Genomic DNA, 13,290 nt, shown 5'->3' with positions numbered 1-13,290 from the left:
ATTCTATCACCAGACCTGCCCACTCTCCCTCTTGCACATAAATCCACCCACTTCACTCCATTCCCATTGTCCTTACCCTGGTCAGGCCCCATCCTCTCTCACCTGGGTAGCTACGCCTTTTGGCTTCCCCTCTGTTCATGCCAACCTGCTCTTCACATACACACTGGTCTCTTCATAAATGTTCATTATGAACATGTCATCCCCAGCTCAAAACCACATCATGTTCCTGTTTCTCTCAGAGTAAATACTCACAAAACTCTGCAGGACCCAGTGCTACCAGCGTATCCAGCTTCATCGTGAACCTCTCTCTCTTGTTCTCCATGCTCCCTACACAAAGCCACTTTAGTTTACCAAATGTGCCATGATCCTTCCTGCTTCAGGCGTTTATGTAGGTTAATCCCCTTTCTAAAGCACCTTTCCTGACCCCTGCATCCTCCTACTGTAAGGTCTCATTGCACCCTAAAGCTTTTCACTCATAGCTGTCATCAGAGTATCATCATCTACGTGTATGATTGCTTTGTTAATGTCTGACTCCACAAGCAGACTAATTGTTGCCCTGTAAGGGACTATGGATGTTTTGCTCATTCCTATCACTGACCCAGTAGCCAGCACATGGTAACCCTCAATAAAGCATTGCCCTTCCCATGAGCTAAGCATCATTCTAAGTGTTATTCATGTATTAGCTCATTTAATCCTAGAACAACCCTAGGAATTAGTACTATTATTTTCTCCATGTTATTAATAAAGGAAGTGAGGCCAGAGAAATTAAGTAATTTGTCCAACATCACAAGAGAATAAGATTCATACATAGCCTGGATTCAAACCCACCTGCCTGATTGGAGTTGGTGCTGTTGGTCACTCCTTATGCTGCCTCTTCACTTAACAGAGAAACAGTCTCCAGTTCCATGGAGCTAGAGTTAGGATCAAGAGCCCCAGTAGTACTCTTCCTGCCAGACTTGGTTCCTGCAGCTTTGCCTGTAGCAACTCTATCAAATGTTTGTAATCTACTCATCTACGGCCTGGCCTCAACTCTGCCTTCATATCAAAGTCACTGGGGGCATTTCTTAAATTTTCAGACTTCTGGGTTACAAGAGGGCCTACTCTGGGCTTGCATGCACACAAGGTTTCTATACTTCTTGGGGATGAAGTCATGGGAGAAGACAGGCCCTCCTGTGCAGGCTGTACAGCTGCTCCAGGCCAGAGAATAGGAGGTCCTTACAGAGAGGATTCAATTTCATCCGAAGAGGATTCTCAGTGTTTATCTGCTAGGAAAGACATGGTCATAAATAGCCCAAATCCCTGCTTTTCTAATTCAAACCACTTCCCCTGGGTCTAATCTCTAAGAGGAACAGCTGGCCACCACACTGTCATAATGATCCTTCATAAACATTTATGGGACAGAGGTAAGGTGTGCCTAATTGACTTGGGCCATCTTGGTGTCTGGGCAATTGTATTGACAGGAATTTGATTTGTAGTTTCCTGTGCAGACTTGAAGCTCTGCAAAACAGTGCTGCCTTCTGCACTAGCGTCTGCAAAGTGTACCCCACCCACCAAAGAAGGTCGCATGCCAGGGAGCCTCCAAGCCTGCTCTGGTTTCTGGTGGAAAAGAGTGACTGAGCCACGGGCACACACCACCAGCTGGCCTCATTCATAAGGCCTGCACCTCCTTCTTTAGTAGTTGTTCAGCAAGGAGCCTACATTGGGTTGGCTTTCCAACAAGCTCACAAGTGGGACCCACAGTGTAACACAGAGCCAGGGTTGACTTGAGGTCAGAAGACCTATTCTTATTCCCACTCCATGATATTATACAAACGAGTGCCCCTGGGTGAGTCACATCACCCCTCTGAAGCCTCAGTTTCCTCATCTGCAAAATGGGAGGCTGATCTCTCATGACGCTACCTCACTGATTTGATAAGAAACAAAAGGGTGAGAAAATGCCACCCAAATATAAACCTACGTCATAACCACGGATGATACTGTTAGAGTGGTCGCTTAAGTTTGCAGGCTCTGAAGTGGGCTGCATGACAGGGGCAGCACAGGAACAGCCACATAGTAAAACTTCTAGTTACACTTATTTTTATTTCCTGAGCATACATTTCTTAGGGATATATATATATATATATATTTTTTTTTTGAAATGGAGTCTGGCTCTGTTGCCCAGACTGGAGTGCAGTGGTGTGATCTTGGCTCACTGCAACCTCTGCCTCCCAGGTCCAAGCAATCCTCCTGCCCCAGCCTCCCAAGTAGCTGCCTCAGCCTCCTAAGTAGCTGGGATTACAAGCATGCACCAGCATGCCCAGCCAATTTTTTAATTTTTAGTAGCGACGAGGTTTCACCACATTGGTCAGGCTGGTCTTGAATTCCTGACCTCAAGTGATCCACCTGCCTCTGCCTCCCAAAGTGCTGGGATTACAGGAGTGAGTCACCGTGCCTGGCCTCATAGGGGTATATTTTATAATGTGCATATCATATTTGTTCATACATGATTGAACACACTACCTGCTGTTGCTGATCACTTTACACAAATTAGGTCATTTAAGGCCTAGAGGTAGGTACCTATTAAACTGACCCCTTTTATAGGTGAAAAAATGAAGGTGCCTCAGAGAGCCTGAGCCAACAGACCAAGGTTATGCAGCTACTAGGTGGAGAGTCCAAATTGGAACCCAGGCTGTCTGGGTCAAAACCCCATCCTCTTCTCCACTACTTCATATTTCCTGGCACAGAAGTACATCTGTAATTTATAAATAAATCAAACTTTGCATATGTTTTATATTGTACATTAAATATAGCAAGAATCATGAATAGCTAACATATTTTGAAGAGTGTGCCCAAAATAGTATTCTGATAGGGCTACATAATCAAAAAAGTTGGGACCACTTGCTTGAAAGTTTAAAGAAGGAGGAACATGAGGCTTATTGTACCCACAGCAGGGATGAGACTGGAGTGGGGCAGATGGGGTGCACAGGGCACAAAATGTAATAACTCTCACTAAAATTTTTACCTCACTCTCTACGTCATGCAAGGCTGGCCCTGCCCCTTCAGCACTGGCAGAGAGTAAGGGGAGGTGAGGACACCACAGGGAGAGAAAGGAAAAGTCTCTGTTATTTATTGCTCCCAAACCCTTTAGTTCCTTGCCCCCCGCGAAGCCCTACTGGGACTAGCCCACCTCTGAAGAGCTCCAAAGGGTGACAGAGCATAAGTCTGGAGTGTGGGCAGTGGGTAGGGGGGCAGCAGGATGACAAAAGGAAGATTCTCTGCCAGCTAGCTGGAGTGGACACAATGGAAGCTGAGTTTCAGTCGTGGCTCTGTGAACTTGAGCCTCAGTGTGCTCTGGTAGAAAATGGAAATTTAAAAATCCCTTTCTGGCCAGGCGCAGTGGCCTGTAATCCCAGCACTTTGGGAGGCCAAGGTGGGTGGCTCACTTGAGGTCAGGAGTTCAAGACCAGCCTGGCCAACATAGCAAAATCCCATCTCTACTAAAAAGAAGAAAAAAAAATTAGCCTGATGTGGTAGTGCATGCCTGTAATTCCAGCTACTTGGGAGGTTGAGGCACGAGAATCGCTTGAACCCGGGAGGCAGAGGTTGCAGTGAGCCAAGATCACACCACTGCACTCCAGCCTAGGAGATGAAGTGAAACTGTCTCAAAAATAAAAAATAAAAATCCCTTTCTGAGTCAAAAAAATAACAGATACTGGCAAGGTCACAGAGAAAAGAAAGCTCACACACTGCTGGTAGCAATGTAAATTAGTTCCGCTGCTGTGGAAAGCAGTCTGGAGAGTTCTCAAAGAACTTACAACAGAACTACCATTTGACCCAGCTGTCCCATTACGAGGTGTGTACCCAAAGCAATACAAGTCATTCTACCATAAAGGCACACACATATGTTCATCGCAGCACTATGCACAATAGCGAAGACATAGAATCAACCTAAGTGCCCCTCAACGGTGGACTAGATAAAGAAAATGTGGTACATATACACCATGGAATACTACGCAGCTATAAAAAATGACATCATGCCTTTTGCAGGAACATGGATGGAGCTGGAGGCCATTGTCCTAAGCAAATTAATGTAGGAACAGAAAACCAAATACTGCATGTCCTTACTTTTAAGTGGGAGCTAAACATTGAGTACACATGGACACAAGGAAGGGAACAATAGGCACTGGGCCTTATTTGAGGGTGGAGGTTGGGGAGAGGATGAAGATTGAAAAACTACCTCTTAGGTATTACGCTGATTACCTGGGTGACAAAGTAATCTGTACACCAAGCCTCTGAGACACACAATTTACCCATGTAACAAACCTGCACATGTACCCCTTGAGCCTAAAATAAAACTTGGAAAGAAAAACCAAATACACAAAATAAACAATAAAAATATCTTTCTGTCTCCCTTGCAGATTATGTGAGTGTGTGAGAGGGTGATGCACCACCTTCAAAATTCTGCATGAACATGAGTTAACTAAGTACTGCATGGAAAACGGCACTGCCTCGCATTCTATTGCCTTTCCACTGCGTTAATCTAGAAATAATTCTGGACTCTCCTCACCTACCACCCCTGTCCCCTTCCTGCCTTCCCAACCTGATAACTGGAGCTGGAGGTGTGGGTGAGTATCTCATCCATGGTGACCTAAAGAACTGAGGTGGATAGATTCCTCCCACTCTCACCCCAAACCAGCAATTCAGAAACCCTTTGGTTCTTACTGCTGCTGCCTAAAGAGAATCACCATGGGCGTCGGAGGAGGCACCAGGGTTGGGGAAAAGAGGACCGGCCAGGCAGAGAGCTCATCTGCCATCTCAAGCCTGACTTCTACAGAGGAATTCCCAAAGGAGAATGTCCCCTGCCCTAGGCCGGTGGATATGGGGAACGTAAGTACTGCATTTAGTGAAATCAATTCACACACAGAAAGTAAAAACAATATGTGTATGGCTGAGGGAGGCTGCCCCTATTTAGGGAATGAGAAGAGCATCCAAGTTCGCACAGATGGTGGGTGGGGCACACTTTCGGTTTTTCCAGAAACAGGCTTGGAGGAGAAAGGAGCTCAGTAGCCACACACCCGCAAACCAGCTCCCAGCTCTATCCCAGCACCTGAAGACAGGAAGGTCTGAAAGCCTGCTGTCAGCAAGCATGCCTGACCTGTTGCTGAGTGTCACAATGGCCCAAGAGTTGCTCTGCACCAAGAGTTAAAAGATGGAGGCAGCAGAGGATGGCTTTCTGAACTCCCAGTGCCAAACCTATCTTTCCCCACTACCATCATTGCCCCCAGCCCTTCAATTGCTGGTGAAAGGCCAATCGGCCAGAAACTCAGACCCAAGGAAATTTTGTGTGTGTGTGTGTGTGTGTGTGTGTGTGTGTGTGTCTGTGTATGTGTATGTGTTATTTGGGGGAGGGGAGTGACACTCTCTCTGGGTTTCCTCCATTCACAGCAGAAGGCCCATTGACATCTAAAATTTCCAAATTTTGCAAAGTCGAAGAGGAATTTACCGAATATTTCCCTCACAGATCTCTCCTTTAACAGAGGAGAAACAGGCCCAGAGGAAAGATATGCTTTCAGTGACACAGGAGTAGCCGCAGAGCCAGGCTGCCTCCCCCACCCCACCCCCAATCCTCACGCACATCTGCTGCTCTTCCCATCAAGTTTTGTCACCGAGGCTCGCATCTGGAAACGTGCATGCAACCTGCTAAGGAGACAAGCAGGCTGGAGAAGCTGCCAAGCAGAATCCTCCCGGTGTACCCGCCCGCCCCTAGTGCGCCTCAGGTGGACGCCAACTCCTGGGAATCCCAGGAGGACGGGAGAGTCTTCACCATCCGAGAGTTCAAGAGCCCAGGGGTCAGGCGATGCCCAGCGAGCACCCCCAGACTTTCCAACCCTCTCCGCTCCGTCCAGCGGCCCCTGTCCCAGCCGCCTTTTGGCAAGCCGCGCTCTTCCTCCGCTGCCCTGCGCTCTCCTGGCTGCCAGCACTGTGAGGTGGCGCAACGCGCCAAAGGGCAAGAGCTCCAAACTGGAGCCGCCTGGAGGTGGCCTCCCCTCCCCCGCCGGGTTCCGTTGTTTATTTCTTCCTGGGGAGGGAAAATCACACAGCCTATTCGTTTCCCCAGCCGGGATGGGCGCAGAGCCGGACATATGGGCATCTCGCGCTCCGCATCTGTGTCATCAGTCGCGTTTTCTGTGGATGCCTGCGTGTTTGTACGTGTGTGTGTATTTGGGGCCAAGCGCTGGGAACAAATGTGCATGTGTTAAATTTGACAATAAAGTCCTACAGCGAAGCTGCTAAGATTGGGGCGGTAGGTGGGGGTGGAAGACGGGGGGTGGGGGGTGGAGGAGAGCTAAACTCTCAAAAGGCGAGGCCAAAGCGCCTGGCCCAGGTATTATGTTGGGAGAAGGTGAGGAGAGCAGCTGCTCCTTCTCGCGGGGTGTGTATGGGAGCGAGGGTGCATGTGTCCCTGTGAAGAGTACACAACGATCTGCTCAACATATGTCGCCACAAATCACAGTGTCTCTCCCTCCTCCCACCCCCCGCTCCCTGCGCGGCTCCTGACCGAGCGCAGAGCAGAGAGGGGCGCTGAGAAGAGGAGCCGCTTCAACAGGTGTCTTGGTGCGCAATGCACCTTTTCACGCATTGACGGTCTCAGCCGCCGGCGAGGATAATGTGGACACTTTGTTTCCAGGCGCCGCGCGCGAGCTGCGGACGCCTAGGGGAGGCGGCCCTGAGCAGGGAGGGGGGATCTGGAAATAAAGACCTCCGGCTCTCCTGAGCGCCCGGGCCCTCTCTTCCCTTTGTTCGAAGACTCCCTGGGCCGGAGCTCCCGTGTGCGCCCTGGGGGGTGGCATATGGCGCCCTGTCACCTACCCAAGAAAAAGAACCGGCCACCCTTTCAAGAGCGCACGAGGTCCCTGAGCCTGGGGAGGGGGAGTCTCTGAGGGAACGGCTTCTCTCCGAAAGTGGGTGAGGAGCCCGTCTTATCTCTCCCTACCCTGCCTCCACCATCCCCTCAGCTGGCGCAGCAGCCGTTGGGTGGGGAGCTGCGCGCTGGGCAGCACCAGCCTGCGGAAGCGCTCCAGCTCCTGGCAGATGAAATATGGGTCTGGTGAGCCCCTGGAGACCATATGCTTTCAATAAAAGAAGACAAATAGGACCGAGATAGGCCTTGCAGCCAACCTGTTATAAATGAGTGGCAATTGGGCCAATGTACACGGGGGCAGGGCCCCCGCGGGGAGGCCTGCTTGGTGCCAAATCCATGTGTCAGCTTCTGGGACAGGTGTGTCCAGGGGCCAGGGGCCAGGTCTCCCCCCTCCGGGTTTATCACGGCAAAGGTAATATTGTGCTAACTATGAGTAAACAGTCATTGTGAAAATGAGGGAGAGTTTATCAGGGCGAACTAGTTGGGGGGTGGCTTAACAATAAAGTTGTTCGCCTTAGGAGCAGGTGACGGCTGGCTGCACGGACTCCCGCGGTAGATGTTTTCCAAAGCACTCCACTTTACAATCTCTTGTAATTATTTATTAAACGAAATCTATTTATTATTATTTTAGCAAACACTGGAGACAGGTGGGGCTTTCTTTTCGTCGTCTCCTTTTGTTTGAAGGGCTGTTTGAAGTGGCCAGTCTCGGCCCGGGCAGCTCGCTCGCCAGATTTTTGTCTTCCCCTCTTTCACTGCTGAGCTGAAGGCGAGAGAAAGAATCCCCCTCCTCTGGCAAGCCATTAGCTATTCAGCTTCCCATGGCCCCCCTCCCTCCCTGCACAATTCTCAAAGAGCCCCCAGGCAATGCTAAAACTACCCCCGCCGACAAGAAGGCAGGAAGGCGGGCCGCTGCCTTCCTTCTTTTCCAATGTGCCCGCGGTCTCCAGGCGTCTGGCTACCGCCTCTCTCCGGGACCCCTCAGCCTCCAGGCAAACTTAGGTCTCAGGAGGTGTAGGGGTGCGGGAGTCCTGGAGGTCTTAGGGGCGGTGGATGACCAGGAGCTGCAGGAACAGACTCTGCTGTCTGCGGGAAGAGCCATTTCACAAACACTGCCGGTGCGCACGGAGTCATTACCGCCTGCGCCTCCGCAGCCAAAGGCACAGGAATTAACTTTGGAGAGGGGTCTATGTGTCCCCTGCAGCTGAGACAGAGGGCATGGATCCTCAATCTCTAATCGCCTAAGACTCCTTGACCTCCGGCCCTGGCCTCCTGGCTGGAAGAGGACTGCGGGAAATCCTTGCATCCCTCAAGAAGGCGGCTGCCCCCAGCCACCGCGCGCTCCTCGCCCTGGCTGCTTTTTGCGCAAAGCAGGAGTGATGGAGAACTGCAAGCCCTGGAGGGCCCTGAGCCGGAGGGGTTTGGGGGAGGCTGGATAAGAATTCCAAGCAGGTCCCAGAATTCTCTACCTATCAAGAAAGCTTGAAAGAATCCCCAGAGTCTTTCCTGGCATGGGAAGCTCACCCTGCGAACCTTGTCAGTATCCATTAGCCGCTCCAGGCAGGCCCCAGCCAGAGTGAGACCTACCCCTATCTGAGGTCCACTCACCCCCATCTGAGGTCCACCGCCAGATGAGAGTCATCCACAGGCTTCTGGGAAACCAGAGCGGTGCTTGGATCCCTCGTGGCCAGGGTTCCCTCCAAGGTGCTTAGCCAGGTCAGGAGGCCCTAGAGAAGCATGGTTTGGATTTTCTTTCCCAGACCAAAAAAGCTCCAAGTTGGTTCTCTCCCAGTTTCTAACTTGCAGTTAAATAAATCAGGCAAGGCTGGCCTATGAGGCAGACAAGTGTGAAGAAGGAGAAGGAGGAGGAGAAGGAGAAGGAGAAAGAAGAAGAAGGAGGAGAAGAAGAAGAAGAAGAAGAAGAGGAGGAGGAGGAGGAGGAGGAGGAGGAGGAGGAAGCAGCAGCAGCAGCAGCAGCTTGAATGGACAGTGGTTCCCCTTGCCTAGAAAATGGGACCATTATTTCTTTTCTAATCTGACCCCCAGACTCAGGACTTCCTCTATTTTCTGCATTTTGGGGTCTCTTGTTTTGCCTTGAAAAAAAATGTTTTCTCCCAAATCAAGGAGCAGTAGCTGGTGCAAGGGAAAATCTAGGGCTAGGAGTCTTAAGATATGACTTCTATGTGGTTCTGATAGAACTTGCTGTGTGACCTTGAGAGAGTCACTCCCCCTCTCTGGGCCTTGATTTTTTCATCTTTAAAGAAGGCCTCAAATTCCCATTCTTATGAGAAGAAGACAAGCTCCTAGTGAGTGGTGACCTAAGGGAGCAGCTGCAGCAAAATGCTAACCTGACAGTCCCAGATGGTCCCTTTATTGGTTCTGACCCTGGTCTCAGGCTTCATTTCCCCACAGCAAGGGAAGGAGCCTGCTCACAGAGCACCAGCTAAGATCAGCAGGACCGCGCCACACCCCCGCCCAGTCCTAGAGCCCCCCTCTCGCTGGTTCCTGAGCATACCACCCTCTTCCTTGGAGGAAAATTTGCCCCCAAGCAGCCTAGGCGGTAAGAGGCTATCACTAGGGCAGACTCACAGACCTACCTCATCCCCTCACCCCACCCTACAGTCTCGAAGTCGGGTCCTGTCCCCTCCTGCAGTTTCCGGGAGACTCAGGATATCTGGACCTGCTAGAAAGAGAAGCCTTCCTCGCCTAAGGAGACTTAAACCGGGATACTTAAACCTCCCGCCTCGGCGTCTTCCTCCAGGCACGACCGGGTCAAGAGAGAGAAGCGGAAGCTGCAACCCCTCACTCTGAGTGACCGGAAGCAGAAGACCACGGGATGTCCCAGGCGGGGACAAGAGGAGGGGCTGGGGAAGAAAGGAGGGATGATGAGTTCAGAGTCCCTTTGGAAAGGTTTCCAGAGAGCGCTACCAGGGACAACCCAAGGGGCTGGGGAAGTCCCTGCCTTGTGCTCTCTGTGCGATGCCCGAGTGATGCAGAGGCAGGGGGCTGGAGCAGGTGACTGCTGGCAGCTGCTGTCTGTCTGTGATTGGACCGGAGGACTAAGGGGAGAAAAAGTTTATCAGCTTCTCCCAGTGCCTGCACGCTGTGGTAGTTCAAAAGACACGAGGGGGAGGGGCACAGCAGCTCTGCTTCCCAGCGCCTTGGGAGACTGAAGTGAAAGGAACGCTTGAGCCCAGGAGTTCGAGACCATCCTGGGCAACAAAGCAAGACCGCCCCTCACCCCATACAAAATAAAAATACAAATAAATTAGCCGGGCACAGTGGCGCATGCCTGTAGTCTCAGCTACTGGGAAGGCTGAAGTGGGAGGATAGCTTGAGCCCAGGAGATCAAGGCTGCAGTGAGCTGTGATTGCACCACTGCAGTCCAGCCTGGGCGACAGAAGGAGACCGTTTTTTGGTTTTGTTTGTTCGTTTAAAAAAAAAAAGAAGCAAGAGCTCACTGTGAACTCCTGGTTCCTTCCTCCCCTCCTCACACTTCCCAGAACTCTTCCTGTCACGGTTCCTGGCCAGAACGCTGGGATACTATCTACAAGCTGTAGTAGGCTTGTAGTAATGGAATGTCCGCTTGAGGGGTCCCCGCACAGCCAACCCCTGCCTCTGGAGTGGGATCTATGGGGGTGGGGTTCTAAGCGCCTCTGGGGAGTGTGAGGTAGCATCTCAGGGTGTGGCAGAGGCTCGGACACCCCCAAAAGGTCTGCGAATGGAAGGGACATAGGCAGGATCTCTCTCAGTGATGTCCCCTGTCTTCCAGGATGAAGAGAGGCAGTGAAACACCAGGAGAGCAGGGCGTCCTTTAGAATTCCTGGACCCTTCTCCAGGCTGCTAGTCAGGACAATGAGCTCGTGGTTGTCTTTGCCACTATCTTCCTGTGCGATTTCAGACAAGCCACCTCCCTCACTAAGCCTAAATTTCCCCATGTGTAACGTGCAGGCATTGTACCCTAGAGGCATCAAAGTCCCCTCCAGGACAGATGCTAAGGAAAGATAGGCTAGGAGCAAAGCCGTCTGAGGTGGCCTGACCAGAGCCACACGAGGCTCTTCTCACTGGGCGAGGCTCTTTGAGGAACCGAGAGTTGCTGGGACCCAGCCCGCCCTCGAGAGAGCAAACAGAGCGGCGCTCCCCTCCCCCGACCCCGGCCCTTTGTCCGGAATCCAGCTGTGCCCTGCGGGGGAGGAGCGGGCTCGCGTGGCGCGGCCCCAGGGCCCCGGCGCTGATTGGCCGGTGGCGCGGGCAGCAGCCGGGCAGGCACGCTCCTGGCCCGGGCGAAGCAGATAAAGCGTGCCAAGGGGCACACGACTTGCTGCTCAGGAAATCCCTGCGGTCTCACCGCCGCGCCTCGAGAGAGAGCGTGACAGAGGCCTCGGACCCCATTCTCTCTTCTTTTCTCCTTTGGGGCTGGGGCAACTCCCAGGCGGGGGCGCCTGCAGCTCAGCTGAACTTGGCGACCAGAAGCCCGCTGAGCTCCCCACGGCCCTCGCTGCTCATCGCTCTCTATTCTTTTGCGCCGGTAGAAAGGTAATATTTGGAGGCCTCCGAGGGACGGGCAGGGGAAAGAGGGATCCTCTGACCCAGCGGGGGCTGGGAGGATGGCTGTTTTTGTTTTTTCCCACCTAGCCTCGGAATCGCGGACTGCGCCCAGTGACGGACTCAAACTTACCCTTCCCTCTGACCCCGCCGTAGGATGACGCCTCAACCCTCGGGTGCGCCCACTGTCCAAGTGACCCGTGAGACGGAGCGGTCCTTCCCCAGAGCCTCGGAAGACGAAGTGACCTGCCCCACGTCCGCCCCGCCCAGCCCCACTCGCACACGGGGGAACTGCGCAGAGGCGGAAGAGGGAGGCTGCCGAGGGGCCCCGAGGAAGCTCCGGGCACGGCGCGGGGGACGCAGCCGGCCTAAGAGCGAGTTGGCACTGAGCAAGCAGCGACGGAGTCGGCGAAAGAAGGCCAACGACCGCGAGCGCAATCGAATGCACAACCTCAACTCGGCACTGGACGCCCTGCGCGGTGTCCTGCCCACCTTCCCAGACGACGCGAAGCTCACCAAGATCGAGACGCTGCGCTTCGCCCACAACTACATCTGGGCGCTGACTCAAACGCTGCGCATAGCGGACCACAGCTTGTACGCGCTGGAGCCGCCGGCGCCGCACTGCGGGGAGCTGGGCAGCCCAGGCGGTTCCCCCGGGGACTGGGGGTCCCTCTACTCCCCAGTCTCCCAGGCTGGCAGCCTGAGTCCCGCCGCGTCGCTGGAGGAGCGACCCGGGCTGCTGGGGGCCACCTTTTCCGCCTGCTTGAGCCCAGGCAGTCTGGCTTTCTCAGATTTTCTGTGAAAGGACCTGTCTGTCGCTGGGCTGTGGGTGCTAAGGGTAAGGGAGAGGGAGGGAGCCGGGAGCCGTAGAGGGTGGCCGACGGCGGCGGCCCTCAAAAGCACTTGTTCCTTCTGCTTCTCCCTGGCTGACCCCTGGCCGGCCCAGGCCTCCACGGGGGCGGCAGGCTGGGTTCATTCCCCGGCCCTCCGAGCCGCGCCAACGCACGCAACCCTTGCTGCTGCCCGCGCGAAGTGGGCATTGCAAAGTGCGCTCATTTTAGGCCTCCTCTCTGCCACCACCCCATAATCTCATTCAAAGAATACTAGAATGGTAGCACTACCCGGCCGGAGCCGCCCACCGTCTTGGGTCGCCCTACCCTCACTCAAGTCTGTCTGCCTCTCAGTCTCTTACCACCCCTCCTCCAATGTGATTCAATCCAATGTTTGGTCTCTCAGCGCTTACTCCCCTTGCCTTGCTCCAAAGACGCTGCCGATCTGCTCTACTCCCAATCAGGTCCGGGATTTCAGGGCGCCTCACTCTGCCTTAAAGCCACGAAGGCGACCCTCTGCCTTCTCCTCGTGCACTTTTCGGAGCCATTGCCCTCCCGGGGCGGAAGACCAGGCTGTGAACTGGGAAAGCGCTAGCCCGGCCAGGGAGCATCTCCCCAGCCTCCCTGCGAACTGCGCCTGAAACGTGAGCTGCGCTGCAGGTGCCTGGAGCACCGCGCATCTTTTTTTTTTAAATCTGTTTGTAAATTATATGATGCCTTTTGAAATCAATTTTGGTACAGTAAATTATATGGCCCCTCCCCTGTTTTACACATTTGTATTTATTAATGAGATTTCACAGCAGGGAAAAGCCTATATTTTGTATATTAGATTATTTAGGGATTGCTGGATGAGATTTTAAGCCAATAAAAAAAAATGGACCTTCAAGAAGCCTTGGCAAGATGACTCCATTGTGTGTTGGGGAGAGGAGGGCCACAGTCACTACAGCTGAGGAAGAGCACTTCTGTCCAAAGAGAGGGATGACACTCTTTCTGGAGGTCTGGGCTAGAGCCAGGGCA

At 53.0% G+C, this 13,290-nt stretch overlaps 1 protein-coding gene and 1 long non-coding RNA gene across 4 annotated transcripts, besides 8 other annotated features; one reads left to right on the top strand and one right to left on the bottom strand.

The window, feature by feature from the left end:
• Nucleotides 5,412–6,225: an enhancer, noted in NCBI's record as "H3K4me1 hESC enhancer chr10:71338175-71338988 (GRCh37/hg19 assembly coordinates)". NCBI's record gives its function as "activates a minimal SCP1, AML or CMV promoter by ChIP-STARR-seq in naive H9 embryonic stem cells {active_cell/tissue: H9 hESC(naive)}" and the evidence as "EXISTENCE:reporter gene assay evidence [ECO:0000049][PMID:30033119]".
• Nucleotides 5,412–8,727: a biological region, named in NCBI's record as "NEUROG3 upstream region homotypic clusters of transcription factor binding sites enhancer".
• Nucleotides 5,671–8,625: an enhancer, noted in NCBI's record as "VISTA enhancer hs1699". NCBI's record gives its function as "enhancer in: tail[4/5]" and the evidence as "EXISTENCE:transgenic organism evidence [ECO:0001131][PMID:17130149]".
• Nucleotides 5,803–8,727: an enhancer, noted in NCBI's record as "NRF1 and E2F4 HCT region upstream of NEUROG3, chr10:71005679-71008603 amplified region (NCBI36/hg18 genome assembly coordinates)". NCBI's record gives its function as "activates a Hsp68 promoter in transgenic mouse embryos {active_cell/tissue: pancreas | caudal somites}" and the evidence as "EXISTENCE:transgenic organism evidence [ECO:0001131][PMID:20363979]".
• Nucleotides 5,977–7,234: a conserved region, noted in NCBI's record as "conserved region; HCT with multiple E2F4 binding motifs". NCBI's record gives the evidence for it as "EXISTENCE:sequence alignment evidence [ECO:0000200][PMID:20363979]".
• Nucleotides 6,226–8,051: a conserved region, noted in NCBI's record as "conserved region; HCT with multiple NRF1 binding motifs". NCBI's record gives the evidence for it as "EXISTENCE:sequence alignment evidence [ECO:0000200][PMID:20363979]".
• On the bottom strand, nt 7,485–11,687 carry LOC101929021 (uncharacterized). 2 transcript variants are annotated; one of them, XR_946037.2, is made up of 4 exons: nt 11,577–11,687; nt 9,496–9,762; nt 8,507–8,625; nt 7,485–7,661 (listed from the first exon to the last, which is right to left on the bottom strand). It is a non-coding gene; the product is annotated as an uncharacterized LOC101929021 (long non-coding RNA). The 2 variants fall into 2 exon arrangements; XR_428765.3 differs by lacking the exon at nt 9,496–9,762.
• Nucleotides 10,952–11,171: a silencer, noted in NCBI's record as "silent region_2436". NCBI's record gives its function as "represses an Ori minimal core promoter by ATAC-STARR-seq in GM12878 lymphoblastoid cells {active_cell/tissue: GM12878}" and the evidence as "EXISTENCE:reporter gene assay evidence [ECO:0000049][PMID:35858748]".
• Nucleotides 11,222–13,159, top strand: NEUROG3 (neurogenin 3). Of its 2 annotated transcripts, none has more exons than XM_017016280.2 (2): nt 11,222–11,434; nt 11,534–13,159. In XM_017016280.2, the coding sequence occupies exon 2, from the start codon at nt 11,601–11,603 to the stop codon at nt 12,243–12,245; it is 645 nt and encodes a 214-aa protein (XP_016871769.1). In that variant the 5' UTR covers nt 11,222–11,434; nt 11,534–11,600; the 3' UTR covers nt 12,246–13,159. The 2 variants fall into 2 exon arrangements, with proteins under 2 accessions (XP_016871769.1, NP_066279.2); NM_020999.4 differs by having other exon boundaries at nt 11,600–12,946.
• Nucleotides 12,429–13,056: an enhancer, noted in NCBI's record as "H3K27ac-H3K4me1 hESC enhancer chr10:71331344-71331971 (GRCh37/hg19 assembly coordinates)". NCBI's record gives its function as "activates a minimal SCP1, AML or CMV promoter by ChIP-STARR-seq in primed H9 embryonic stem cells {active_cell/tissue: H9 hESC(primed)}" and the evidence as "EXISTENCE:reporter gene assay evidence [ECO:0000049][PMID:30033119]".

The sequence above is a fragment of the Homo sapiens genome, chromosome 10 (assembly GCF_000001405.40).
Source record: "Homo sapiens chromosome 10, GRCh38.p14 Primary Assembly".
Taxonomy (NCBI): Eukaryota; Metazoa; Chordata; class Mammalia; order Primates; family Hominidae; genus Homo; species Homo sapiens.
Note: the sequence above shows the minus strand (reverse complement) of the source record. Positions and strands in the feature narration are given on the sequence as shown.